Source organism: Homo sapiens, chromosome 19 (assembly GCF_000001405.40).
Source record: "Homo sapiens chromosome 19, GRCh38.p14 Primary Assembly".
Classification (NCBI taxonomy): domain Eukaryota; kingdom Metazoa; phylum Chordata; class Mammalia; order Primates; family Hominidae; genus Homo; species Homo sapiens.
This window is the reverse complement of record NC_000019.10, coordinates 16,794,713-16,822,004: the sequence shown is the minus strand read 5'-3', so window position 1 is coordinate 16,822,004 and position 27,292 is coordinate 16,794,713. Positions and strand designations below refer to the sequence as shown.

At 47.6% G+C, this 27,292-nt stretch overlaps 1 protein-coding gene and 1 long non-coding RNA gene across 11 annotated transcripts in view, besides 1 other annotated feature; one reads left to right on the top strand and one right to left on the bottom strand.

The window, feature by feature from the left end:
• The first annotated feature begins 772 nt into the window (after nt 1–772).
• On the top strand, nt 773–26,026 carry LOC124904648 (uncharacterized). Its single transcript, XR_007067150.1, has 3 exons — nt 773–814; nt 909–994; nt 24,045–26,026. It is a non-coding gene; the product is annotated as an uncharacterized LOC124904648 (long non-coding RNA).
• The window catches only part of NWD1 (NACHT and WD repeat domain containing 1), a 98,117-nt gene continuing 74,866 nt past the window's right edge, over nt 4,042–27,292 (bottom strand). For 5 of the 10 annotated variants that reach the window (XM_011527929.2, XM_011527930.3, XM_011527931.3 and 2 more), the window contains 5 exons: nt 24,119–24,273; nt 21,843–22,119; nt 13,869–14,419; nt 9,155–9,260; nt 4,042–6,977 (listed from right to left, as the gene is read on the bottom strand). In XM_011527929.2, the coding sequence (XP_011526231.1) occupies nt 6,676–6,977; nt 9,155–9,260; nt 13,869–14,419; nt 21,843–22,119; nt 24,119–24,273 (1,391 nt within the window). In that variant the 3' untranslated portion in view covers nt 4,042–6,675. Of the gene's footprint in view, nt 6,978–9,154; nt 9,261–13,868; nt 14,420–21,833; nt 22,120–24,118; nt 24,274–27,292 lie in introns of those variants that run through there. The other 5 variants (NM_001290355.3, XM_024451466.2, NM_001007525.5 and 2 more) reach the window with 5 other exon arrangements.
• Nucleotides 4,329–4,525: a silencer, noted in NCBI's record as "fragment chr19:16928291-16928487 (GRCh37/hg19 assembly coordinates)". NCBI's record gives its function as "represses an EF-1alpha promoter that drives an FKBP-Casp9 reporter gene in an ReSE screen in K562 erythroleukemia cells {active_cell/tissue: K562}" and the evidence as "EXISTENCE:reporter gene assay evidence [ECO:0000049][PMID:32094911]".

Sequence of the window (27,292 nt, the reverse complement as noted above, 5' to 3'; positions counted from 1 at the left end):
GTCAGGAGTTCGAGGCCAGCCTGGCCAACATGGTGAAACCCCCATCTTTACTCAAAAAAAAAAAAAAAAATTAGCCAGGCGTGGTGGCGGGCGCCTGTAATCCCAGCTACTCAGGAGGCTGAGGCAGGAGAATCGCTTGAACCCAGGAGGTGGAGGTTTCAGTGAGCCAAGACCATGCCACTGCACTCCAGCCTGGGTGACAGAGCAAGACTCTGTCTCAAAAACAACAACAACAACAACAACAACAAAAACCCTGCATGGGCCGGGCGCAGTGGCTCACGCCTGTAATCCCAGCACTTTGGGAGGCCGAGGCAGGTGGATCACCCGAGGTCAGGAGTTCGAGACCAGCCTGATAAATATGATGAAACTCCGTCTCTACTAAAAATACAAAAATTAGCCAGGCATGGTAGCATGTGCCTATAATACCAGCTACTCAGGAGGCTGAGACAGGGGAATCTCTTGAACCCAGGAGGCAGAGTTTGCAGTGAGCCAAGATCGCGCCATTCATTGCACTCTAGCCTGGGCAACAAGAGCGAAACTCTGTCTCAAACAAAAACAAAAACAAACAAACAAACAATGCCCCCCGACCCCCACCCCGCCCCAGAATCCTGTTTTATCAGCAGGGTCTTTGTGACCTGGGTCTTCCGTCCACCTCCTACCTCACCCTGTGGCTTAGAATGCCTAACCTCCCGGGAATGCAGCCCTGCAGGTCTCAGCCTCATTTTACCCAGCCCCTATTCTAGATGGAGTAAGCTTGTTTCAAACGCCTCTGACAAAACCACAAGCCAGTTCCATCTGGGGCATGTGTGTACATGTATGTATGTGCACACATGTGTATATTTATCATGAGGACAATAGTACAAAGACATCTTTTAATTTTATTTCCATTTATTTATTTTCTGAAACAGGTACTCGCTCTGTTGCCCAGGCTGGAGTGCAATGGTGCAATCACAGCTCACTGCAGCCTTGACCTCCTGAGTAGCCAGGACTACAGGTACGTGCCACCATGCCTGGCTAATTTTTTATTTTTATTTTTTTTACAGACAGGGTCTCACTAAGTTGCCTAGGCTGGATATTCTTATTTTTATCAAACATAAAAAGGTGCTACTGGGCCAGGTGCAGTGGCTCAAACCTGTAATCCCAGCACTTTGAGAGGCAGGCGGATCACTTGAGGCCAGGAGTTTGAGACCAGCCTGGGCAACACAGCAAGACCTCATCTCTAAAAAAATTTTTTTTGTTTTTTGAGACAGAGTCTCACTCTGTCACCAGGCTAGAGTGCAGTGGCATGATGTTGGCTCACAGCAACCTCCATCTCCTGGGTTCAACTGATTCTCCTGCCTCAGCCTCCTGAGTAGCTGAGACTACAGGCGCGCACCACCATGCCCAGCTAATTTTTTGCATTTTTAGTAGAGACAGGGTTTCACCATGTTGGCCAGGATGGTCTGTATCTCTTGACCTCATGATCTGCCAGCCTGGGCCTTCCAAAGTGCTGGGATTACAGGTGTGAACCACTGCACCTGGCCAAAAAAAAATTTTTTTAAAAGACAATCTGAGTCTGAGTCTGAGTCTGAGTTTGAGGTCAGAGATGAAGCATCAGAGAAATACAATGCTGCTGGCCTTGAAGAAGGAAGCAGCTGTTTTGCAAACTGCCTATGGAGAGGGGCAGCTGAGGTCTCCACTCCTATAGCTTTGAAGGGCTTAATTCTGCCAAGAATCTGAAGGAGCTTGGATGAAGACCCTGAGGCTCTCAATGAGAGCCCAGTCCGGCTGACACCTTGTGAGATCCTGAACAAAGAATCCAGTCATGCCATGCCCAGACTCCTGACTTGCAGAAATTGTAAGATAAGAAGTGGATGTTATTTTAAGCTTCTAACTTTGCAATAATTTACTAAGTAGTGATGGAGAATGGACACACCTATGAAGTATACTTGTCAAAAATGTCTATCCTGGGCCAGTTGCAGTGGCTCATGCCTGTCATCCCAGCACTTTGGGAGGCCAAGTCGGGTGGATCACTTGAGGCCAGGAGTTTCAGACCAGCCTGGCCAAAATGGCAAAACCCTGTCTCTACTAAAAATACAAAAATTAGCCTGGTGTGGTGGCGTACACCTGTAATTCCAGCTACTTGGGAGGCTGAGGCAGGAGAACGGCTTGAACCCGGGAGGCGGAGGTTGCAGTGAGCCGAGATCGCACCATTGCACTCCAGCCTGGGCAACAAGAGCAAAACTCCGTCTCAAAAAAAAAAAATTGTCTCTCCTCTGATAAGGAAGTGTCAATGCGAGTTCATCCATTGTAACAAATGCACCGCTCTGCGTTTGTTAGAGTGAGGGATGTTGATGGAGGAGGCTGTGCATGAGGGGTGCATAGGGTAGATGGGAAATCTCTGCACCTTCCACTTAATTTTGCTGTGAACCTAAAACTACTCTAAAAAAAGAAAGCCTATATAAAAGATGTTTACCCTAAATTTAGCCAAGCTTTAAGACCAAGGGTAGGCATATATACATAAGTATATGTGTGTGTGTGTGTATGTATATATGTGCATATACACATATGTATATACATATGTGTGTGTATATATACATATATACATATGTATGTGTATATATACATATATACATATGTATGTGTGTATATACACACATATATACGTATATATGTATATGTGTATATATATGTGTATATATGTGTGTGTATATATGTGTATATATGTGCATGTATATATATAGACACGTATATATTTGGTAAATATATATATATATTTTGGTAAAGGGCCAGATTAGAAATATTTCTGATGGCCAGGCGCCATGTAATCCCAGCACACTGGGGGGATCGCTTGAGCCCAAGAGTTGGAGACCAGCCTGGGCAATATAGTGAGACACCCTCTCTACAATAAATTTAAAAATTAACCAGGTATGGTTGTGCACATCTGTAGTTTCAGCTACTTGGGAGGCTGAGGCAGGAGGATCACTTGAGCTCATAAGTTCAAGGCTGCAGTGACCCATGATCATACCACTGCACTCCAGCCTGGGCGACAGAGAGAGACCCTCTCTGAAAAATAAAAAAGATATTAACTAACAATTAGTAATTCTCACAGGTGTGTGTGCTTATATAGGAATATGACCTTCCTAAGACACTTGTCTGATGTATGTAGGGGTGAGGTGTCTTGATGTCCCCAGGGCCAGGAAGAGGGTGAGGTCAGTTCCTGCAAATGCAGGGTCAGATACCAATTTTATATAGAATGTTGATGTTTTGTTCATCATTCATTTTTAAATTCATTTTGATTTTTAAAAATATGATAATAGGCCACACACGGTGGCTCATGCCTGTAATCCCAGCACTTTGGGAGGCCAAGGGAGCACAGATCACTTGAGGTCAGGAGTTCAGGGCCAGCTTGGCCAACATGGCAAAACCTCGTCTCTACAAAAAATACAAAAATTAGCTGGGCGTGGTGGCCTGTAGTCCCAGCTACTCAGGAGGCTGAGTCAGGAGAATCGCTTGAATCCAGGAGTCAGAGGTGCAATGAGCCGAGGTCGCACCATTGCACTCTAGTCTGGCAGCAGAGCAAGGCCTTGACAAAAAAAAAAAAAAAAGATAACAAAATATTATTTGTCTTCCAAAAGAAAAGAAAACAAGAAAAAAAAGAGAGAGAAAACATTATTTGTCATGATTGCTGAGCTTTTCGGCATCCCTTAATTTTATTTTATTTTTTTTCTGAGACATGGTCTCACTCTCTTGCCCAGGCTAGAGTGCAGTGGTGCGATCATAGCTAACTACAGCCTTGATCTCCTGGGCTCAAGTGATCCTCCCACCTTGGCCCCCTGAGTAGCTAGGACTGCAGGTGTGCACCACCATGCCCAGCTAATTAAAAAAAAATTTTTTTTTTTTTTTTTGGAGAGACAGGGTCTCAAACTCCTGGGCTCAAGTGATCCTTCTACCTTGGCCTTTCAAAGTGCTGGGATTACAAGCATTGACCAGCCAACTGTCAAACTTTCTTAGCAACCAAACTCTTTTTCAAATGAATAAACACTGCAAAAACTCCCAATATAAGCAATAATTTGTTGTAGCATTTTATTAGTAAAAAGGCATTTCCAATGTTTAAATTAGGATTTATCTACAAAACAATCAATTCTCACTGAGGCTGTGGAGATGGACACAGGCATTTAAAATCAGAATTTGTAGGTGAAATCTTAATTGGTCTCAACATCTACTTTATTTCTGCATTGGGTAAGCCCTTGATTCACAGAGAAGCAGTGGCAAAGAGTAGCTAATTTTTTCAGGGCTCCCTTCACAATTTAATTGGGCTCTTCAGTTAAATCAGTTAAATGAAAATGGCAGAAGAATCCTAAATTATTAGGTTGATGCAAAATTAATTGTGGTTTTTGCCATTACTTTTTTTTTTTTTTTTTTTTGGAGACAGAGTCTCTGTCACTCATGCTGGAGTGCAGTGGTGCGATCTCGGCTCACTGCAACCTCCGCCTCCCGGGTTCAAGCCATTCTCCTGCCTCAGCCTCCCAAGTAGCTGGAATTACAGGTGTACGTCACCACACCAGGCTAATTTTTGTATTTTTGAGTAGAGACAGAGTTTCACCATGTTGACCAGGCTGCTCTTGAACACCTGGCCTCAAGTGATCCACCCGCCTCAGCCTCCCAAAGTGCTGGGATTACAGGCGTGAGCCACCGAGGCTTTTGCCATTATTATTATTATTATGAGATGGAGTCTTGCTCTGTCACCCAGGCTGGAGTGCAGTGGCACAATCTCAGCTCACTGCAACCTCCGCCTCCCGGGTTCAAGTGATTCTCCTGACTCAGCCTCCTGAGTAACTGAGATTACAGGCACTCACCACCATGCCTGGCTGATTTTTGTATTTTTAGTAGAGAAGGGTTTCACCATGTTGTCCAGGCTGGTCTCAAACTCCTGACCTCAGGTGATCCACCTGCCTCGGCCTTCCAAAGAGCTGGGACCACAGGTGTGAGCCACTGTGCCCAGCCAGTTTTTGCCATTATTTTTAATATTTTTAATGGCGAAAACCACAGTTACTTTTTGCACCAACCTTAGTAATCTTCAACACCTTAGAAGCTGCTGCCCAATACATCCAAGCATACATCTTAAAATTACAGTTTAAAATATTTTTAAATGAAATTTGACACTAACATTTGCAGAACTACCAAAACCTGCCTTGGAAAACTGGTTTGGAAAATGGATGAATAAGACAGCAGTAGGGTCTTGTTCAGCTCAAAAGCCTCTGTTTCTAAGGTTGCTTTTATTGAGACTCTATCAGGAATTCCACGGAGGGGAGAAGGGATAGCCACCTTGAAGATTTAGACTATCCTAGCATTAAAGTAAAAGCCTGAGAAGACTGAGAAGGGCTTTTAGAAGGCTGTGGGCAAAGAAGAAAGATCCACTTAAGTGGAATGAAAACAGTTTGACTGTTGAACTTGCACAAGGCAGACAGTTCAAAAGCAAAGCAGGGAGAGATCAGCAGCTCTTTCTACTTCCAAGAGCCTCCAGTTTTTAAGATTAAAAACCCACATCTTTATCCCAAAAGTTTGGGAGCCAAGGAATAGAGAGGGATGAACTATAACATGTTGATTGTTTTACTGCCAGCGTGAGTCCTGAAGTCAGCTCATTAACCAAAGACGCACATGCCAAATGCACTATAGATATAAATTCAACCAATCGCCAACTTTAAAAGTCAGAACATTTTTGCATAAAAGTCTGGATTTCTGGCTTTGCTTATTACAACTGGAAGCACTGACAGCAGTGGGCTTGTTTGGCCATGGTGATTCTGGGCTACAGTCAGGCTGCTCATACCCACCCTAGACACAATCTCTGCCTTCCACATGTCCAGTCTCTGTCTCTCCCTGCTGCTCACCCAGGTGCATGGAAGTGTCTAGATTAGTCACTAGCTCCTGTGAGCATTTGAGTGTGGTGCCTGTGGAAGAGATGGTTGTGCTCTGCAGACTGAAATTGGAGTGAGGTCTAACAGGAATGGGACAGAAGGCTCACTCTCAGAGCTCTTGCACCTTGGACTTGTGACCTGAATCAAATTATAACTACTTCCGCAAGGCTCAGTTTCCTCATCTGTAAAATAGATACAGAAACTCCTGCCCTCCCTAAAGTATGAGTTGTGATGAGGATCAGATGACAGCACCTACAGCTTTATAAACTGTGAGGTTCTGTGGTCCACATCAGTGATTTGCTGTATCTCACATTCATCCGTTCCCCCTTCATCTGGTACCAGAACTCCAGTTTGCATCTCAGGAGTAATCTCTTCTATTCTCAGTCCCAGTGGTGGACATTGGATCAGTCTAGCCGATTAGAGCTCTGCATTCTCCCAGATATAATAATTGGTTTAGGGCTAGGCGTATGGGCCAATTGGGACCAGTAGAGTTGAGGCTAGGACTGTTGGGAAAGAGAAGCTCTCTTTTCTATTGAAATTGGAGACAGCAGCATATTGGCCACCATGTTGCTAACCTGGGGGTGGCAAGTCTGAGAATGAAAATGAAAAAGAGGAAAGAATAATGGAAAGATGAGAAGAGACAAGGTCTGAAGCCATAATCTGAAGCCATGGGTCCAGATATACACCAGCAAACGTATTCTTTTTGCTTTAACTAGATTAAATGGGGCTAACTCACTGGAGCCCCATACCCCCACAGGGTTTTTTTATTTTTATTTTTTTACACTATCAGGCACACTTGTGAGCATTTGTTTGATTTGGTTTCATTTCCCTGGGCACTTTCTGACTCCAAGTCCTGGGGAGCTCCTGCAGCTGCAACTAGCTCCTCTCTCTGCCTGGATTTGACCATCCACATTGCCTTCTTGAAGTTCTTAAGAGGGTCCTGCGGTGAGGCTTTTGCTGAAAGGCACTGGAAATTCTCTCGGATCAGATAACCATGCCTGGTGGGGGCAATGAAGCCACTGGTGGTTGGGATGATTCTGTTTACCACAGCATGGACAAACTGGACTGTCAGCAGGGTGCCTGTAAGGGTGAAGAGAAGGACACAAATGAGAAAAATGGGGTGTAGAGGTCCAATCCTACACATTCCAGAGTTGGCTGCATGGAATAAAATTCCTGCTATGCCCTCTACTAATTTTGGCATGACATTTATTATGCCAAAGAGTCCCTCTTCCTTTATCTGCACAATGGGAATGATAACAGAACCTACACCTGCTCAGGGCGATTTTTAAGATTGAAAGGCATCATGCAGGTCATGTGCTTAGTGTAGGTTTTTGGCCCAGAGTGAGCTCAGTAAATATTATTGTTGAAGGAGGAGAAGGAAGAGAGGTTGTGAACTGGCCCAGGATGGGCTTTTAAGGCCACAGTCCTCAACCTTCATCTTCTGAGCCATCTGTAACTTTATACCAGTTGTATATATCTTTGCTACAGCATATTATACTACAATGTATAATAGTGTTATAGTTTACTATGTATCAGATTACAGTGTATTCAACTACAATGTAGTAGGCTCCACCTGATATTTATTCAGCCACTTACTTGTTTTGTGACCTTGGGCAAGTCTCCTAACCTCTCTGATCCTCAGCTTCTTCATTGTCAAACAAGGATAGCAATGATACTTATCTCCTACTAGTGTCATAAGGGTTCAAAGAGATAATACACAATGAGCGCCTTTTCTATAGGAGACAGTGTAAGAAAGTGACAAAGGCGTACTGAAATCAGGAAGGTCAGCCTCAAACCTAAGCCTACTAGTTACTCACTGTGTGACCTTAGGCAAGTCTGCCAGCCTCTCAGAGCCTCAGTTTTTGCTCTGTAAATGGGAGTGAGTGTTGAGAGAGTTAAATGACTTAAGGACAGTACCCAGTATACAAAAAATGTTAACTCATTTTTTTTGACAGGGTCTCACTCTGTTGCCCAGGCTGGAGTGCAATGGTGCTATCATGGCTCACTGCAGCCTCAATCTCCCACACCTCGACCTCCCATGATCACTTTATCCTCCTGAGTAGCTGGGACTACAAGCATGTACCACCATGCCTGGATAATTTTTAATTTTTTTTTTTTTGTAGAGACAGAGTCTCGCTATGTTGTCCAGACTAGTCTTGAACTCCTGGCCTCAAGCAGTCCTCCTACATCGGCCTCCCAAAGTGCTGGGATTGCAGGCTTGAGCCACTGCACCCAGCCAGTGTTAACTCTTGCTAAGACCTTAGCATAATACTGAACAGACCAAGAGACACGGTGTTTCCAAAGTGGTTGGTCTTAAAACAGGCTGCTTCTGGCCAGGAATGGTGGCTCACATCTCTAATCCCAGCACTTTGGGAGGCCGAGGTGGGTGGATCACCCAAGGTCAGGAGTTCAAGACCAGCCTGGCCAACATGGTGAAACCCTACCTCTACTCAAAATACAAAAATTAGCTGAGTGTGGTGGTGGGCGCCCGTAATCCCAGCTACTCAGGAGGCTGAGGCAGGAGAATCACTTGAACCTGGGAGGCAGAGACTGCAGTGAGCTGAGATTGCACCACTGCACTCCAGCCTGGGTGACAGAGCTAGACTCCATCTCAAAAACAAAAAACAAAAAACAAAAACAGGCTGCTTCTAACATCTATAAGGCGGGGGCAAAGAATGAAATAAGACCCACATCCAAGAAGACACCATATATAAACATTGCAATTCTAGGGAATAAACTATTAAATAGAATATGCTGTGTCCTCTTATATTGATGAAGGAACCTTCACAAACACCTGGAAACAGATTGAGAATTCTTGGGCTCCTCAGGGTTCTATGCTGGAATGTAGTGATGTAACCAGCCCCCCACTACTAGTGACTTGACCCTCTTCTCACTCTTCTCAGCTCCATCTCACAACCAACTCAGACACCCAAACTCCATCCATACCACCCCATGGCTACTCCTGAGCCCAGAAGTGCACACACCAGGAGCCCAGTCTATCCTCGGAAGGATGGCTGTATGCAGGAAGCCTGTGCATGCCCTAATGAAAACTCAAGGGAGGGAGTTCTCGAACTCCAGAGCATGGGTCTAGAAGAGGGATTGTGGGCCCTTTGCCTTTGCCTGCAGACACCTTCCTAAAAGCTAAGGGATGCAGCTAGAGGTGGCCAGAGCAGGGCCCTCTAATGCCCAGGACCCAGGTCAGAGCCTTTTCTCTCCAGATCGAAGCTCAATCCTGCCCTAAAAGCAAAATGACTCACCATCCAGCACACTCCAAACAAGTATAGAGCGATCCTTTAAGCCCACGTACACATACTTGTCATCCTTGGAGAAGCAAGCACATTGGACCCCTCTGCAGTAAGAACTCTGTTGAAAACAGACAATATGATCTCTCTTTTTCTTGGGTTTTTTGTTTGTTTGTTTGTTTGTTTGTTTGTTTTTGAGATGGAGTTTCACTCTTGTTGCCCAGGCTGGAGTGCAGTGGTGTGATCTCAGCTCACTGCAACCTCCACCTCCCAGGTTCAAGCGATTCTCCTGCCTCAGCCTCCCAAGTAGCTAGGATTACAGGCATGAGCCACCATGCCTGGCTAATTTTTGTATTTTGAGTAGAAATGGGGTTTCACCATGTTGGCCAGGCTGGTCTCCAACTCCTCACCTCAGGTGATCCACTAGCCTTGGTCTCGCAAAGTGCTGGGATTACAGGTGTGAGCCAACGTGCCTGACCCAGACAATATGATCTTGATTCCAAACTGAAAGACACCCAGGAAACCAGCCCCAAGGAACCAGGCCTTTTTTTTGTTTTTGTTTTTTTTTAACAGGTCTGACCCAGGCTGGAGTGCAGTGATGCCATCTCGGCTTGACTGCAACCTCCACCTCCTGGTTTCAAGCTATCCTCCTGCCTCAACCTCTCAAGTAGCAGGGATTACAAGTGTGTGCCACCACACCTGGCTAATTTTTGTATTTTTAGTAGAGACAGGGTTTCACCATGTTGCCCAGGCTGGTGGTGAACTGACCTCAAGTGATCTGCCTGCCTCGGCTTCCCGAAGTGCTGAGATTACAGGCATGAGCCACTATGCCTGTTTTTTGTTTTTGTTTTTGATGGAATCTCGCTCTGTTCCTGAGGCTGAGGTGCAGTAGCCTGATCTCGGCTCACTGCAACCTCCGTCTCCTGGGTTTAAGCGATTCCTCTGCCTCAGCCTTCCAGGTAGCTGGGACTACAAGCTCCTGCCACCATGCCCAACTAATTTTTGTGTTTTTAGTAGAGAAGGGGTTTCATCATGTTGGCCAGGCTGGTCCCAAACTCCTGACCTCAGAACCAGGCTTTGAAGCGCCCCACAGGGGGATGGATCCAATGAAAACCTGGAGAGATGAGCAGCACAGATACTACCCCAACCCAGGCACACCTCCATAGAGATTGGATAGAAAGGTTTAGATACATTTTGCACTGAAAGGAACAATTGTAGGACTCAATTTCTTTTTTCTTTTCTTTTCTTTTTTCTTTCTTTCTTTCTTTTTTTTTTTTTTCTGAGACAGAGTCTCGCTCTTGTTGCCCTGGCTGAAGTGCAATATCACGATCTTGGCTCACTGCAACCTCCATCTCCTGGGTTCAAGCGATTCTCTTGCCTCAACCTCCCAAGTAGCTGGGATTACAGGCATGCACCACCATGCCCGGCTAATTTTTGTATTTTTATGAGAGATGAGGTTTCACCATGTTGGTCAGGCTGGTCTCGAACTCCTGACCTCAAGTGATCCACCCGCCTCAGCCTCCCAAAGTGCTAGGATTACAGGCATGAGCCACTGTGCCTGGCCATAGGATTCAATTTCTTTTTTCGATGGGGATTCAATTTCTTAAATTACTTTGGTTATACGGATGTTAGCTATGATTGTATTTAATTAAAAGCTATGTGCTAATCTCACATGGAATCCTGGATTGGATTCTAGAATGGAAAAAAGGAATGAATTGAAAAGCTGGTAAGATTCCAATAAAGGCTGGATGTGATAGCTCACACCTGTAATCCCAGCACTTTGGGAAGCCAAGGTGGGTGGGTGAAACCCTGTCTCTACAAAAAATTAAAAAATTAGCCAGGTGCAGTGGCACATGCCTGTAGTCCCAGCTACTTAGGAGGCTGAGGTGGAAGAATCACCTGAACCCAGGAGGCGGAGGCTACAGTGAACTATGATTGCACCACTGCACTACAGCCTGGCTCACAGAGTAAGACCCTGCCTCAAAAATAAATAAATGAATAAATAACAAAAAATAAAAAATTCCCATAAGGTTGACAGTTTAATTAATAGTACTGTTCACATGTTAATTTCTTCATTTTTGTTTATTAGTTAGTTTTGCTCGAGAGACAGAATCTTGTATCGTCATCCAGGGTGGAGTGCAGTGGCGAGATCATAGCTCACTACAGCCTCGAACTCCAGGGCTCAATCGATCCTCCCACCTCAGCCTCCTAACTAGCTGGGACTACAGGCACACACCTCCACACCTGGCTAATTTTTTTTTCTAGAGATGGGATCTTGCTGTGTTGCTGAGGCTGGTCTTGAAATCCTGAGCTCAAGCAATCCCCCTGCCTCGGCCTCCCAAAGTGCTGGGATTACAGGCATGAGTTGCTGTGCCTAATCTAGACTTACAAGGCCTTCTTTTTCTTTCTTTTTTTTTTTTTTTTTTTTGAGATGGAGTCTCACTCTGTCGCCCAGGCTGGAGTGTAGTGGCGTGTTCTCGGCTCACTGCAGCCTCTGCCTTCCAGGTTCCAGTGATTCTCCTGCCTCGGCCTCCCGGGTAGCCGGGATTACAGGCACATACCACCATGCAGGGCTAATTTTTGTATTTTTAGTAGAGACAGGGTTTCACCATGTTGGCTAGGCTGGTCTCGAACCCCTAACCTCAGGTGATCCACCCGCCTCAGCCTCCCAAAGTGCTGGGATTACAGGTGTGAGCCATGGTGCCCAGCCTTACATGGCTTTCTTAAGCAGCAGCCCTTGCCATTTATTGAGCATCAAGGAAATGTCAGGAGTTCTCCTAGGAACAAGGGAAACTTCAGTGAGCAAAACACACACACAAAAAAATCCTTTTGCCCAGACAGAGCTCACTGTGTCTTCCCAACTACAAAGTGGCTCCAAGACATGGGATAGAGTCTCCCTGTGACCAGGCAGATAGAAAGGGGTGATAGAAAAGCAACCCTTGTGATAGAAAGGGGTCCTGGCAGAGGTTTTTCAATAAGTATCAGTTGGATAAAGAAATAGCACGGAGCAGCCAGGCACGGTGGCTCATGACTGTAATCCCAGCACTTTGTGAGGCCAAGGTGGGCGGATCACGAGGTCAGGAGATTGAGACCATCCTGGCTAACACGGTGAAACCCCATCTCTACCAAAAAAATACAAAAAAATTAGCCAGGCGTGGTGGCGGGCACCTGTAGTCCCAGCTACTCGGGAGGCTGAGGCAGGAGAATGGCATAAACCCGGGAGGCAGAGCTTGTAGTGAGCCGAGATCGCACCACTGCACTCCAGCCTGGGTGACAGAGCAAGACTCCATCTCAAAAAAAAAAAAAGAAAAAGAAAAAGAAAAAAAAAAAGAAATAGCACAGAGCCAGGATTAGGGTGAAGAGAGTGAAGCAGCACTAAGCCAGTGCAGGATTTGATCCAGTTTTTACCTATAATGTTGAGATTTTGTTCTTCATGGAATTTTGGTATTCATTTTAGATTTTTAAAAATATTGCATTAAAATATTACTTCTTGGCCAGGTGCAGTGGCTCAAACCTGTAATCCCAGCACTTTGGGAGGCCAAGGCAGGTCACTTGAGGCCAGGAGTTCAGCCTGGACAACATGGCAAAACCCCTTCTCTACTAAAAACACAAAAATTAGCTGGGCATGGTGGTGCTTATCTGTAATCCCAGCTACTTGGGAGGCCGAGGCGGGAGAGTTGCTTGAACCCGGGAGGCTGCAGTGAGCTGAGATGGCGCCACTGCATTCCAGCCTGGGTGACAGAGCAAGACTCCATCTCAAAAAAAAAAAATTATTTATCTTCATTGCTGAGTTTTTGTTTTTTGTTTTCTTGAGACAGGCCTTGCTCTATCACCCAGGCTAGAGAGCAGTGGCATCCGGGCTCAATCAATCCTTCCGCCTCAGCCCTCCAAGTAGCTGGATCACAGGTGCACATCACCATGCCCAGCTAATTTTTGCATTTGTTTGTAGAGATAAGGTCTCCCTATGTTGCCCAGGCTGGTCTCCAGCTCCTGGCCTCAAGTGATCCTCCTTCCTGGGCCTCCCAAAGTGCCGGGTGAGCCACTGCACCTGGCCTACCATTGCTGAGCTTTTTGGTACTCCTTTGAACTTTGTAGCCAGGTCCGGTGGGTCATGCCTGAAATCCCAGTGCTTTGGGAGGCTGAGGCGGGAGGATCACTGGAGCCCAGGAGATTGAGGCTGCAATGAGCTATGATTGTGCCACTGTACTACAGCCTCGTGACAGTGGGGTCCCTGTCTCTTTAAAAAAAAAATGAAAACAAAAAAAACTTTGCTTCTGAGACAAATGCCTCACTTTTCTTTTCTTTTCTTTTCTTTTTTTTTTAAACGGAGTGTCTGTAGTCAGGCTGGAGTGCAGTGGCGTGATCTTGGCTCACTGCAACCTCTGCCTCCCAATTTCAAGCGATTCTCCTGCCTCAGCCCCCCAAGTAGCTGAGATTACAAGCATGCAACACCACACCTGGCTAATTTTTGTATTTTTAGTAGAGACGGGGTTTCACCATGTTGGCCAGGCTGGTCTTGAACTCCCGATCTCAGGTGATCCGCCTGCCTCAGCCTCCAAAAGTACTGGGATTACAGGCGTGAGCCACTGCGCCTGACCAAGTGCCTCATTTTCATCACCCCAGTCCCATCCTGGTCGATGGCCCATGGTGTGTGCTTAGTAAATGATGGCTATCTATCAGTTTTCCAATGCCTGGGTCTAGCATGAACATGGGGAGGCGGGCCACCCACCGTGTAGCTCATCTCGAATTTCCACTTGCGTGCCTGCAGGTCCCAGAGACACAGCAGGGCATCCTCAGACCCGCTGACCACCAGCTGCTCCTTGTGGCTGACCTCCACACAGGCAACTCGGCTCCTGTGGGTCTCCAAGGGAAACGCTTTGGAAGTTGCACACTCGTAAAGAAAGAGGTCCCCATTGGTCATGCTGTAGACCACGCGGTAGTCCGTCAGAATGGCCACGCTGGAGAGGGTCTCGGGCAGCTGAGTGTAAAAGGTGTATCTTGGCCCATCGATGACCGGGCAGGGGTCCCCGGAGGTGATGTCCAGCACCAGGACGATGTTGTCATAGGCGATGGCCAGGCGGTCCTCGCACTTGCTCAGGGACATGCAGTTGATTGCTTTCCGGGCCTCGGGAGGGGGAATGCATATCACGTCCTGCCTGGAATTCAGGGGGAACACAAGGACGACCCCCGACACGAGGCCCGTAAATAGGAGCTTGCGCTGCTCAGCAACCTCCAGACACCTGATCTCACTGGAGGTGTCCAGGGAATCTTGTTCCTCGCCTGCCAGGGAAGAAAAATGAGAATGACTTACACTGAGAGTGAATCACAGCAGCCCTGCTTCCCTGGTGGTTTTTTTTGTTTTGTTTTGTTTTTGAGATGGAGTCTCACTCTGTTGCCCAGGCTGTAGTGCAATAGCACGATCTCAGGTCACCGTAACCTCCACCTCCTGGATTCAAGCAATCCTCCTGCCGCAGCCTCCCGAGTAGCTGGGATTACAAGTGTGTGCCACCACGCCCAGCTAATTTTGTATTTTTAGTAAAGGTGGGGTTTCTCCATGTTGGCCAGGCTGGTCTCTAACTCCCAACCTCAGGTGATCCACCCACCTTGGCCTCCCAAAGTGCTGGGATTACAGGCGTGAGCCACCACACCCGGCCTGGTGTTCATATTTTCTTTCTTTCTTTTTTTTTTTTTTTTTGAGACAGTATTCTGGAGTGCAGTGGCGAGACTGAAGCTCACTGCAGCCTCCAACTTTTGGACTCAAGTGATTCTCCTGCCTCAGCCTCCTGAGTAGCTGAGACTACAGGCGCCTGCCACTGTGCCCTACTAATTTTTTTATTTTTTGTTTTTTTTAGACAGAGTCTGGCTTCGTTGTCCAGGCTGGAGCGCAGTGGCACAATCTCGGCTCACTGTAACCTCTGCCTCCCAGATTCCAGCAATTCTCCCACCTCAGTCTCCCGGGTAGCTGGGACTAGAGGTGCGCACCACCACGCCCAGCTAATTTGTTTGTATTTTTAGTAGAGACGGGGTTTCGCTATATTGGCCAGGCTGGTCTTGAACTCCTGACCTCAAGTGATCCGCCCGCCTCGGCCTCCCAAAATGCTGGGATTACAGGCATGAGCCATCGCGCCCAGCCTATTTATGTATTTATTTATTAAGAGACGGAGTCTCACTCTGTTGCCCGGGCTGGAGTGCAGTGGCACGAACATGGCTCACTGCAGCCTCAACCTCTCAGGCTCTAGTGATTTTCCCACCTCAGCCCCCCAAGTAACTGGGACTACAGGCTCGGGCCACCACGCCCAGCTAATTTTTGTAGAGATGGGATTTTACCATGTTGCCCAGGCTATTCTTGAACTCCAGGGCTCAAACGATCCTCCCACCTTTGCCTCCCAAAGTACTGGGATTACAGGCATGAGCCACCATGAATTGTCCCATCTTGAAGCAAGGGGGCCAGACTTTTGTATTCCCACATCAGGCAGTCATTGACTGGGGCCATTTCAGGGGCGGTGGCCACATCCCCCTGCCATTTCCAGTTGAGAGGCTTCTTTCATCAGTGGGCAATTCCCAGGAGTAAAATGAAGGTGGGGGCACTGCTGGGTCTGCGAGAATTGGACAGTGAGGGATTTCTGAGTTTCTCACCAACAGTACTTGGCACAGTCCTGCTGGGAGGATAGAGGTATAGAAACTCCTGTTAATGGCAGGGCGTGGTGACTCACGTCTGTAATCCAAGCACTTTGGGAGGCCGAGGTGGATGGATCACCTGAGGTCAGGAGTTTGAGACCAGTCTGGCCAACATGGCAAAACCCTGTCTCTACCAAAAATACAAAAATTAACCAGGCGTGGTGGCAGGCACCTGTAATCCCAGCTACTTGGAAGGGAGGCTGAGGCAGGAGAATCGCTTGAACCCAGGAGGTGGAGGTTGCAGTGTGTCAAGATTACGCCACTGCACTCCAGCCCGGGCAACAGATGGAAACTCCCTCTCAAAAAAAAAAGAAGAAAAGAAAGAAAAAGAAAAAAGAAACTCCTTGTTAATGATGAAATAATAGGAGAAAGGAATCCTGATTTTCAAGCTGATTCTCAACTTCATTCAGTCGTTAATTTGGCAAACATTTTTAGAGTAACAGCCCACTAGGCAAAGCTCTGGGGGTTGGCAGGGAGCAAATCAAGTGAGGTTACAATTCTCGAGGTGCTTGTTTGCTGGTTGCAGGGTGAACCAGGGCCCAAGGAAATGGAGAGATGCCAGGTGCAGTGGCTCATGCCTGTAATCCCATCTATTCAGGAGGCTGAAGTGAGAGGATGGCTTGAGACCAGGAGTTCAAGACCAGTCTGGGCAAAAGAGTGAGACCCCTGCCTCTGCAAAAACATTAAAAAAATTAACCAGGTATGGTGGTGTGCGCCTCTAATCCCAGCACTTTGGGAGGCTGAGGCAGGCAGATTGCTTGAGCCCAGGAGGTCAAGACCACCCTGGGCAAGATAGAGAGACCTTATCTCTACAAAACACACAAAATTTGGCTGGGCACAGTGGTGCACACCTGTAATCCTAGCACTTTGGGAGGCCGAGGCAGGTGGATCACTTGAGGTCAGGAGTTCGAGACTAGCCTGGCCAACACGGTGAAACCCCATCTCTACTAAAAATACAAAAATAAGCCAGGCATTGTGCTGCACACCTGTAATCTCAGCTACTCGGGAGGCTGAGGCAGGAGAATTGCTTGAACCCGGGAGGCGGAGGTTGCAGTGAACTGAGATCACGCCACTGCACTCCAGCCTGGGTGACAGAGCGAGACTCCATCTCAAACAAAAGAACAACAACAAAAATAAAATAAAATAAAAATAAAAATAAATAAATAAATAAATATTTTTAAAAATTTTAAAGTCTCCAGGAGTCAGGCATGGTGGTGCACCTGTGGTTCCAGCTACTCAGGAGGCTGAGGCAGGAAGATCGCTTGAGCCCAGGAGTTCGAGGCTGCACTGAGCCGTCATTGTACCTCTTCACTCCAGCCTAGACAGTAGAGTGAGCCCTGACTCTTAAATAAGACAGAACAACAAAAAAAAGAGGCCCCAGGGAGCTTCTTTGCCCCTTTCTACCATGTGAGGACAAAGAAAATCTGGCCATCCATGACCCAGAAAGAGGACACTCACCAGATACCAAATTTAAAAAAAAATTAATTTAACCCAAGACAACAAAGTTGCTGGCACCTTGATCTTGGACTCCCCAGCCTCCTCCAGAAATATGATAAACAAATTTCTATTCTTTCTTTAAATTAAAAAAAAAAACAGAGAGACAGGGTCTCTGTTGCCCAGGCTGGAGTGCAGTGGCATTATCATAGCTCACTGCAGCCTTGAACTCCACGGCTCAAGCAATCCTCCTGCCTCAGACTCTGGAGTAACTAGGACTACAGGCATGTACCACCAAGCCCGATACCTTTTAAATTTTTTTGTAGAGGTGGGGTCTCACTATGTTGCCCAGGCTGGTCTCAAACTTCTGGTCTCGAACTTCTGGCCTCAAGTGATCCTCTCTCCTCAGCCTCCTAAAGTGCTGGGATTACAGGCATGAGCCACCACACCTGGCCCCATTTGCTATTCTTTCTAAGCCACCCAATCCATGGCATTCTGTTATAGTGGCCGGAATTGACTAAGACTGGTGCTCTACCTCTTCCAGGGCTCCCCATGGAATGATGCTGAGAGGGACTTTAGCTGAGCCTGCATTCTTGCTCAACCCTTTCCCCCGCCAGCCCCATTTTCTCATCTCCCTCTGGGGTTCTCCTGGAAACACCCCTCAATACATCACTTGTGCAAATATCCTCATCACAGATTCAGCTTCTAGGTAACCTGAATTAAAACAGGCCAAACGGAAACAACCAGATTGCCAACTACCTCATGCAGAAAATGTATAAAATGAAATCCTGTTTTTGACCAGCTACTTTCTTTTTCTTTTTTTTTTCGGGTGGTGGAGTCTCACTCTGTTGCCAAAGCTGGAGTGCAGTGGCATGGTCTTGGCTCACTGCAGCCTCCACCTCCCAGGTTCAAGCAATTATCCTGCCTCAGCCTCCCCAGTAGCTGGGATTACAGGCACACACCACCACGCCCAGATAATTTTTTTTTTTTTTTTTTTTAAGTAGAGTTGGGGTTTCGCCATGTTGGCCAGGCTGGTCTCCAACTCCTGACCTCAAATGATCCGCCCACCTCAGCCTCCCAAAGTTCTGGGATTACAGGTGTGAGCCACCACACCTGGCCATGACTAGCTAGTTTCCACCTGATTGAAGTTATAGGCGTGTTATGGACTGAAGATTTGTGTCCCCCTGACAAATTCCTATGTTAAAATCATCACCCTCTGTGGAATGGTATCAGGAGCTTGGGCCTGTCTTAGTTCATTGGTGTTGCTAATGAAAACCTGTTTTTGACTAGCTACTTTCTACCTGATTGAAGTTATAGGAATGTTATGGACTGAAGATTTGTGTCCCCACCCCCCCACCAAATTCCTATGTCAAAATCCTCACTCCCCATAGGATGGTATTAGGAGCTGGGGCCTGTCTAAGTCTGTTGGTGTTGCTATGAAGGACTACCTGAGGCTGGGTAACTGAGATGGTTTGGCTGTGTCCCCACCCAAATCTCATTTTGAATTGCAATAATTCCCACAGGTCAAGGCCGAGGCCAGCTGGAGATAATTGAATCATGGAGGCAGTCTCCCCCATACTGTTCTTGTGGTAGCGAATAAGTCTCATGAGATCTGATGGTTTTGTAAAGGGCAATTCCCCTGCACACACTCTCTTGCCTGCCACCATGTAAGACGTGACTTTGCTCCTCATTTGCCTTCTGCCATGATTGTGAGGCCTTCCCAGCCATGTGCAAATGTGAGTCCATTAAACCTCTTTCCTTTACAAATTACCCAGTCTCAGGTATGTCTTTTTTTTTTTTTTTTTTGAGACAGAGTCTGACTCTTGCCCAGGCTGGAGTGCAGTAGCAAGATCTTGGCTCACTGCAATTGCCACCTCCTGGGTTCAAGCGATTTCTGGCTAAGTTTTGGAATTTTAGTAGAGACAGGGTTTTACCATGTTGGCCAGGCTAGTCTCGAACACCTGACCTCAAATGATGCGCCTGCCTTGGCCTCCCAAAGTGCTGGGATTACAGGTGTGAGCCAGCAGGCCCGGCCTCAGGTATGTCTTTATTAGCAGTGTGAGAACAGACTAATACAGTAATGCATAATTATGAATAAGAGGTTTATGTGGCTCATTGTTCTGCAGGCTGTACAGGAAGCATGGTGCCAGCTTCTGCTTCTGGTGAGGGCCCCAGGCTGCTTCTTCTTAATACAAAAGGTGAAGGGGGTTGGGGTGTGCAGAGGTCATACGGCCAGAGGAAGCAAGAGAGAGGGAAGTGCTAGCTTCCTTTTTTTTTTTTTTTTTTTTTTAATTGAGATAGGGTCTTGCTCTGTCACCTAGGCTGGAGTGCAGTGGTGCAATCACAGTTCACTGCAGCCTCAAATTCCTGGGCTCAAGCGATCATCCTGCCTCCATCTCTCAAGTAGCTGAGACTACAGGTGAATATCACCATGCCCAGCTCATTATTTTTATTTTTATTTTTATTTATTTATTTATTTTTGAGACAGAGTCTTGCTCTGTCACCCAGGCTGGAGTGCAATGGTGCTCAATGCAACCTCTGCCTGCCGGGCTCAAGCGATTCTCCTGCCTCCCTCCTGAACAGCTGGGATTACAGGTGCCCGCCACCACGTCCGGCTAATTTTTGTATTTTTAGTAGAGATGGGGTTTCACCATGTTGGCCAGGCTAGTCTTGAGCTCCTGACCTCGTGATCCACCCAACTCAGCCTCCCAAAGTGCTGGGACTACAGGCGTGAGCCACCATGCCCGGCCATTATTTTTATTTTTATTGCGACAAGGTCCATGTTGCCCAGGCTGGTCTTGAACTCCCGGCCTCAAGCAATCTTCCTGTTTCTGCCTCCTGAGTAGCTGGGGTCAGGTTCTTTTTAACAACCTCGCGAGAACTAACAGAGTTAGAACTTACTCACCACCACCACTGCCTTGCCAGGAGAGGGCATTAATCTATCCACGAGGGATGTGTCCTTATGACTCAAACACCTCCCGTGAGGCCTCCCTCCAACACTGGGGATTAAATTTCTTTTTTTATTGTTGTTTTGTTTTCAAACAGGGTCTTGTTCTGTCGTCCAGGCTGGAGTGCAGTGGCACAATCTCAGCTCACTGCAACTTCTGCCTCCTGGGCTCAAGTGATCCTACCACCACAGCCTCCCAAGTAGCTTGGACTACAGATGTGAGCCACTACACCGAGCTAATTTTTGTCTTTTATGTAGAGACGTCTGGTCTCAAACTCCTGAGCTCAAGTGATCCGCCCACCTCAGCCACCCAAAGTGCTGGGATCACAGGTGTGAGCCATCACGCCTGGCTTTTTTGTTTGTTTTTAGAGACAGGGTCTCACTCTGTCACCCAGGCTGGAGTGCAGTAGTGCGATCATGACTCACTGTAGCCTCAACTTCCCAGGCTCAAGCGATCCTCCCACCTTAGCCCCCAAAATAGCTAGAACAACAAGCACATGCCACCATATCCAGCTAATTTTTTTTTTGAGACAGAGTTTTGCTCTTGTTGCCCAGGCTGGAGTGCAATGGCGTGATCTCGGCTCACTGCAACCTCTGCCTCCCAGGTTCAAGCTATTCTTCTGCCTCAGCCTCCTGAGTAGCTGGGATTACAGGCATGCACCACCACGCCCAGCTAATTTTGTATTGCTTTAGTGGAGGTGGGGTTTTTCCATGTTGGTCAGGCTGGTCTCGAACTCCCGACCTCAAGTGATCTGCCTGCCTTGGCCTCCCAAAGTGCTGGTATTAGAGGTGTGACCCACCATGACTGGCCACATCCAGCTATTTTTTAAATTTTTAGTAGAAATGGCATCCTCTCATCTTGCCCAGGTGTTCTTGAACCCTAAGCTCAAACAATCCTACTGCCTCGGCCTCCCAGAGTGCTGTGATTATAGGTTTAAGCCACCATGGCCAGCCGGATATTAAATGCCAACATCTGGTTTGTAGGGCCAAACCTCCGAACTGTAGCAGAGTGACAGGGAAGTGATTAGATCATGAATGTGGGGCGTTCCTGAATAGGATTAGTGCCCTTATAAGAAGAGACACAAGAGATTTCTCTCTCTCTCTGGGGACACATCAAGAAGATGGCCATCTGTGAACCAGGAAACGGGTCCTCACCAGACACGAGATCTGCTTGCACTTTGATCTGGAACTTCCCAGCCTCCAGAATGTTGAGGAATAATGTTTCTTGCTTATGCCACCCAGTCTATGGGGATAATTTATTTTATTTTATTTTTCTGGGACAGAGTCTCACTCTGTCGCCCAGGCCGGAGTGCAGAGTCAGGATCCCGGCTCACTGCAGTCTTCGCCTCCCAGGTTCAAACAATTCTGCCTCAGCCTCGCAAGTAGCTGGGGATACAGGCATGTGCCACCATGCCCGGCTAACTTTTGTATTTTTAGTAGAGACAGGGTTTTGCCATGTTGGCCAGGCTGGTCTTGAACTCCTGACCTCAGGTGATCCACCCGCCAAGGCCTCCCAAAGTCCTGGGATTACAGGCGTGAGCCATGGGGCCCAGCCTGTGGGGATGATTTGTTACAGTAGCCTAAACTAAGACAGATGGCTCCAAGCCTTACCCACAAAAATGACCATACTTATACCTTACCAACCTTCTGCCAAGTCCCAAATAGTGACTTTGTTTTTGTCCCCAATTTTGGGGAAGTAGACGTAGCTTCCATTGTGGGACACTGCGGTGAGGCCGGTGCGGTCCAGAAATGGTGCAGGCACCCGGGACCTATGAGCATCGCTGAGATCCCAGACCTTGAAAGATGAGGACTGTGGGGAAGCAGATGCCACCAAAGCCCCGCCGCGGGCCAGCAGGCTCACGGGGGCCCCGACGCCTTCCAGGATGTCCAGAAGGGTCCCCTGTTCTGACAGACTCCACACCTGAGGAAGCAGAACAGGAGGGCAGATCTGACATCTTCTGTGGACAACTATAGTTCAGAAATACGCTTCAGCCCATTGGGCCAGGCGCGGTGGCTCACGCCTGTAATCCCAACACTTTGGGAGGCTGAGGCAGGTGGATCACCTGAGGTCAGGAGTTCGAGACCAGCCTGACCAACATGGAGAAACCCCATCTCTAATAAAAATACAAAAAATTAGCCAGGCTTGGTGGTGCATGCCTGTAATCCCAGCTACTCAGGAGGCTGAGGCAGGAGAATCGCTTGAACCCGGGAGGTGGAGTTTGCAATGAGCCAAGATCGTGCCATTGCACGCAAGCCTGGGCAACAAGAATGAAACTCCGTCTCAAAAAAAATAAAAATAAAAATAAATAAATAGGCCAGGTGCAGTGGCTCACACCTGTAATCCCAGCACTTTGGAAGGCTGAGGCGGGTGGATCATGAGGTCAGGAGATCAAGACCATCCTGGCCAACATGGTGAAACCCCATCTCTACTAAAAATACAAAAATCAGCCAAGCGTGGTGGTGCACACCTGTAATCGCAGTTACTCGGGAGGCTGAGGCAGGAGACTCACTTGAACCTGGGAGGCAGAGATTGCAGTGAGCTGAGATTGCGCCACTGCACTTCAGGCTGGCAACAGAGTGAGACTCCGTCAAAATAAAAATAAAAATAAATAAATAAGAAAATAAGAAATACACTTCAGCCCATTCATAAACCTAAGGTGAATTTTCAGGCTGTAAGTTCAAGGGCCTTCACATCTTCCCATTCCTTTAACTTACTCAGGCTTGAACCCATCAGCTTCCAGAGCAGTTCCCAAAGTGTGTTCCAGGGAACTCCTGGAGGGTGCCCTGTAAACCTTTTTTAGAGGGTGCCCTGTAAACCTTTTTTAGAGGGTCTGGAAGCTCAAAACTTTTAATGTTTTTTTTTTTTTAATTATTTTATTCTAGCCAGACATGGTGGCTCACGCCTGTAATCCCAGCACTTTGGGAGGCCAAGGCAGCTGATCACCTGAGGTCAGGAGTTTGAGACCAGCCTGGCCAACATGGCGGAACCCCGTCTCTACTAAAAATACAAAAATTAACCAGGCATGGTGGTGGGTGCCTGAAATCCCAGCTACTTGCGAGGCTGAGGCAGGAGAATTGCTTGAACCCAGGAGGTCGAGGTTGCAGTGAGCTGAGATCATGCCACACTGCCCTCCAGCCTGGGCGACTGAGTGAGACTTGGTCTCAAAAAATAAAGAAAATTATTCTTATTTTTTTGGAGACAGGTTCTTGTTTTGTCACCCAGGCTGAAGTGCAGTGGCGTAATCACAGCTCACTGCAGCCTCTACCTCCCAGGCTCATGTGATCCTCCCACCTCAGATTCCTGAGTAGCTAGGACTACAGGCACATGCCATGACGCCCGGCTAATTTTTGTGTTTTTTTGTAGAGATTGGGTCTTGCTATGTTGCCCAGGCTGGTCTCGAACTCCTGGGCCCAAGTGATCCACCTGCCTTGGCCTTCCAAAGTGCTGGGATTACAGGCATGAGCCACTGTGCACAGTCTATTTATCAATTTCTTTAAAACTGGAAAAAATAGCTCATAAGAAGGAGGGGGAAAAAAAGAGAACTTCAAGAGGCCTGAGACTAAAACACTGAAGATCTGCTATTTCACCATCTACTTTTCTCTCCAGCTTGGACAACTTTGAACTTAAATTGAGAATTTTCCTCCCCCACAACCCTGCTCCACTCTGAAGGCACAAATCTGCCCCCAAGGTTTGAGGATCAGTTTGGGAATGCTACCTCCTTTGTTGAACATTTCAGTAATTCTCACCCAGGTCTGCCACTGGGGCGGAGGATACACCCCCATATCCTCCCAATGAACTCACCTATTTTGCCTGCACTCATTTTTGTGGGTGTCTGTATTTTGCAGCCAAAAATCCCTAAAGAATCAGTGTCTGTTCCCGAGGTGGAGGTGAGGATGAAGGGTCCCAGATCTCCCCTCACCTGAATGAGCGCATCAAGGGACCCCGTGATGATCAGGTTGTTCTCAGTACCAAAAACAGCCGTCTCCACCATGTCTTCATGTTCCAGATCCATGGCCATGAATCGGCGAAAGCCCCTCGAGTCCGCCAAGAATATCCGCACCGATCTTCCAAAGCCTGAAACGGCAGGAACTGGGGTTACACCTCTCATGTCCAGAGGAGATTGAGGGTCATTCCTTCCATCAACAGAGGTGTTTTGGAGGCCGGATGTGGTGGTTCATGCCTGTAATCCCAGCACTTTGGGACGCCAAGGCGGGCAGATCACTCGAGGTCAGGAGTTCGAGATCAGCCTGGCCAACATGGTGAACCCCGATGTTTCATGTATTTTATTCTCTACTAAAAATACAAAAATTAGCCAGGTGTGGTGGCACATGCATGTAATCCCAGCTACTCAGGAGGCCGAGGCAGGAGAATTGCTTGAGCCCAGGAGGCAGAGGCTGCAGTAAGCTGAGATTGCACCACTACACTCCAGCCTGGGCAACAGAGCCAGACTCTGTCTCAAAAAAAAAAAAAAAAAAAAGAGATGTTTTGGAACCCCTGCTAGGTGCCAGGAGAAGGGATCCAGGACGGGGAAGGTGGATTCAGTCCTGTCCCCATCTGCACATAGCCCACAGCTGGTTGGGGGAGGGCCTGACTTCTGTAATCACTCATCAATTTTTTTTTTTTTTTGAGATGGAGTCTCGCTCTGTCACTGAGGCTGGAGTGCAGTGGCATGATCTTGGCTCACTGCAACCTCTGCCTCCTGGGTTCAAGCGATTCTCCTGCCTCAGCTTCCTGAGTAGCTGGGCTTGTAGGTGCTGACCACCATGCCTGGCTAAATTTTGTATTTTTTAGTAGATACCAGGTTTCACCATGCTGGCCAAGCTGGTCTCAAACTCCTGATCTCAAGTGATCCGCCCACCTCGGACTTCCAATGTGCTGGGATTACAGGCCTGAGCCACCGTACCCAGCCAGTAATCACTCATCTTAAGGAAACTTGTAAAGTTATTATAATGAAACTGTAAGTTCCTGGAGGGCAGGGACTGCCTATTTGGCTCATCATGGTATCTCAGAAACTAGCACAAAGCTGGGCACACAGCAGGCCTTTGATAACTATGATGGAAGGAAGGGAGGAAGGAGAGAGGAGAGTCAAGGAGGTAGAGAGGAAGAAAAGTAAAGAGGAAGGGAGGAAGGAGAGAAATGAGAAGGGGAAGAAGGAAGGAAGAAGAGGAAAGAAAGTAAGAAGGGAGAAAGGAAGGGATAGCGGCAGGAGGCAGGCAAATGCCTAGGCAGATAGGAATGGGTCCCCAGTGAAACTGTACCTTTGAACCAAAAACAGCCTGGGCTGCTGTTTCCAAATGAAATCCACAACCCAGAGTGAGAACTCCTGTTCCTGTTTGCCCACCCTTTCCTGATTGATTCTTTCTGAATAAGACTTTTGTGGCAGTGGCATGATCTTGGCTCACTGCAATCTTCACCTCCTGGGTTTAAGCAATTCTCCCACCTCATCCTCCCGAGTAGCTGGGATTACAGGCGCCTGCCACCATGCCCAGTTAATTTTTGTATTTTTAGTAGAGACAGGGTTTCACCATGATCATCAGAAGTTCAGATCAGAAGTTCACTGATCTGAACTTCTGATCTCAGGTGATGGCCCACCTTGGCCTCCCAAAGTGCTGGAATTACAGGCGTGAGCCACTGCACCTGGCCTGAATAATGCTTTTTAACCAATTGAATGTTACGTTTTCCAATACTACCTACCACCTGCCCCTCCCCCATCCTGTGCCTATAAAAACGCCCAGACTCAGCCACACTGAGAGAGATGACCCAACCTTCACATCCCCTCTCCCCTGAGAGCTGTTTTGTTGCTCAATAAAATTCTCTGTCCTTATCACTTTTCAATTGTCAGCATGACCTCATTCTTCTTGGACACGGGACAAGAGCTTAGGACTCACTGGATGCAGGTACCCAGGAAGGCTGTGACACTGTGGCCCTCTGTCCTTGATGGCAGAGGGAAGCTGCTCCACGCAATAGAAGCAGTGGTGGGGCCAAGCCAGTCCCAGAACTGCAGGCCAGAATGGGGAAAGGGGCTGACTGAACTGCTAACATGCCACCATCCATTGGGTTGCAGATGGTGGAACTAAAAGAGCAAATTAGGCCAGGTGTGGTGGCTCATATTTGTAATTCCAGCACTTTGGGAGGCAGACGCAGGCAGATAACCTGAAGTCAGGAGTTCAAGACCAGCCTGGCCAACATGATGAAACCCCATCTCTACTAAAAATACAAAAATTAGCGGGACGTGGTAGCAGGTGCCTGTAATCCCAGATACTTGGGAGACTGAGGCAGGAGAATCGCTTGAACCCGGGAGGTGGAGGTTGCAGTGAGCTGAGATCATACCACTGCACTACAGCCTACGCAATAGAGCGAGACTCGGTCTCAAAAAAAAAAAAAAAAAAAGGTAATTAGCACACTGTAACACCCCCTCTGGGGCTTCAGGGTCGTGGACCCCTTGTGTTTCCTTTGGGGTGACACATGGCCTGGTCTGCCCATGGGCCCTGCATGGAGCCTGGCCCTGTGTCAGTGCTTGAAGCAGCCAGCTGGACCCTACATTCACTTGCTCACATGCTCCCTCCTGCTAGGGGCTGAGTGCTCAGTCGTGGCAGTGGCCATGGGAGCCGCGGGCTGGGCCAAAAGCCAGATGTGACCCCACAGGCTGAATAAATGGGGTGCCCCCTGCTCCCAGCTTGGCAAAGAGGCCAAGAAAAATCCTGCATCAAAAGGAAAGAAAGGGCTGGGCGCAATGGCTCACGCCTGTGTAATCCCAGCACTTTGGGAGGCTAAGGTGGGCGAATCACCTGAGGTCAGGAATTCGAGACCAGCCTGGCCAACATGGTGAAACTCCGTCTGTACTAAAAATACAAAAATTAGCTGGGTGTGGTGGTGTGTGCCTGTAATCCCAGCTATTCAGGAAGCTGACGTGGGAGGATCGTTTGAGCCCAGAAATTCAAGGCTGCAATGAATTATGATTGAGCCACTCCACTCCAGTCTGGGTGACACAGCAAGACCCTATTTAAAAAAAAAAGAAAAATAATAGAAAAATAGTGTCTATGCTAGTTTATGTACCACAACTGCAGAGTTGAGTCTTTGCAACTGAGGTTGT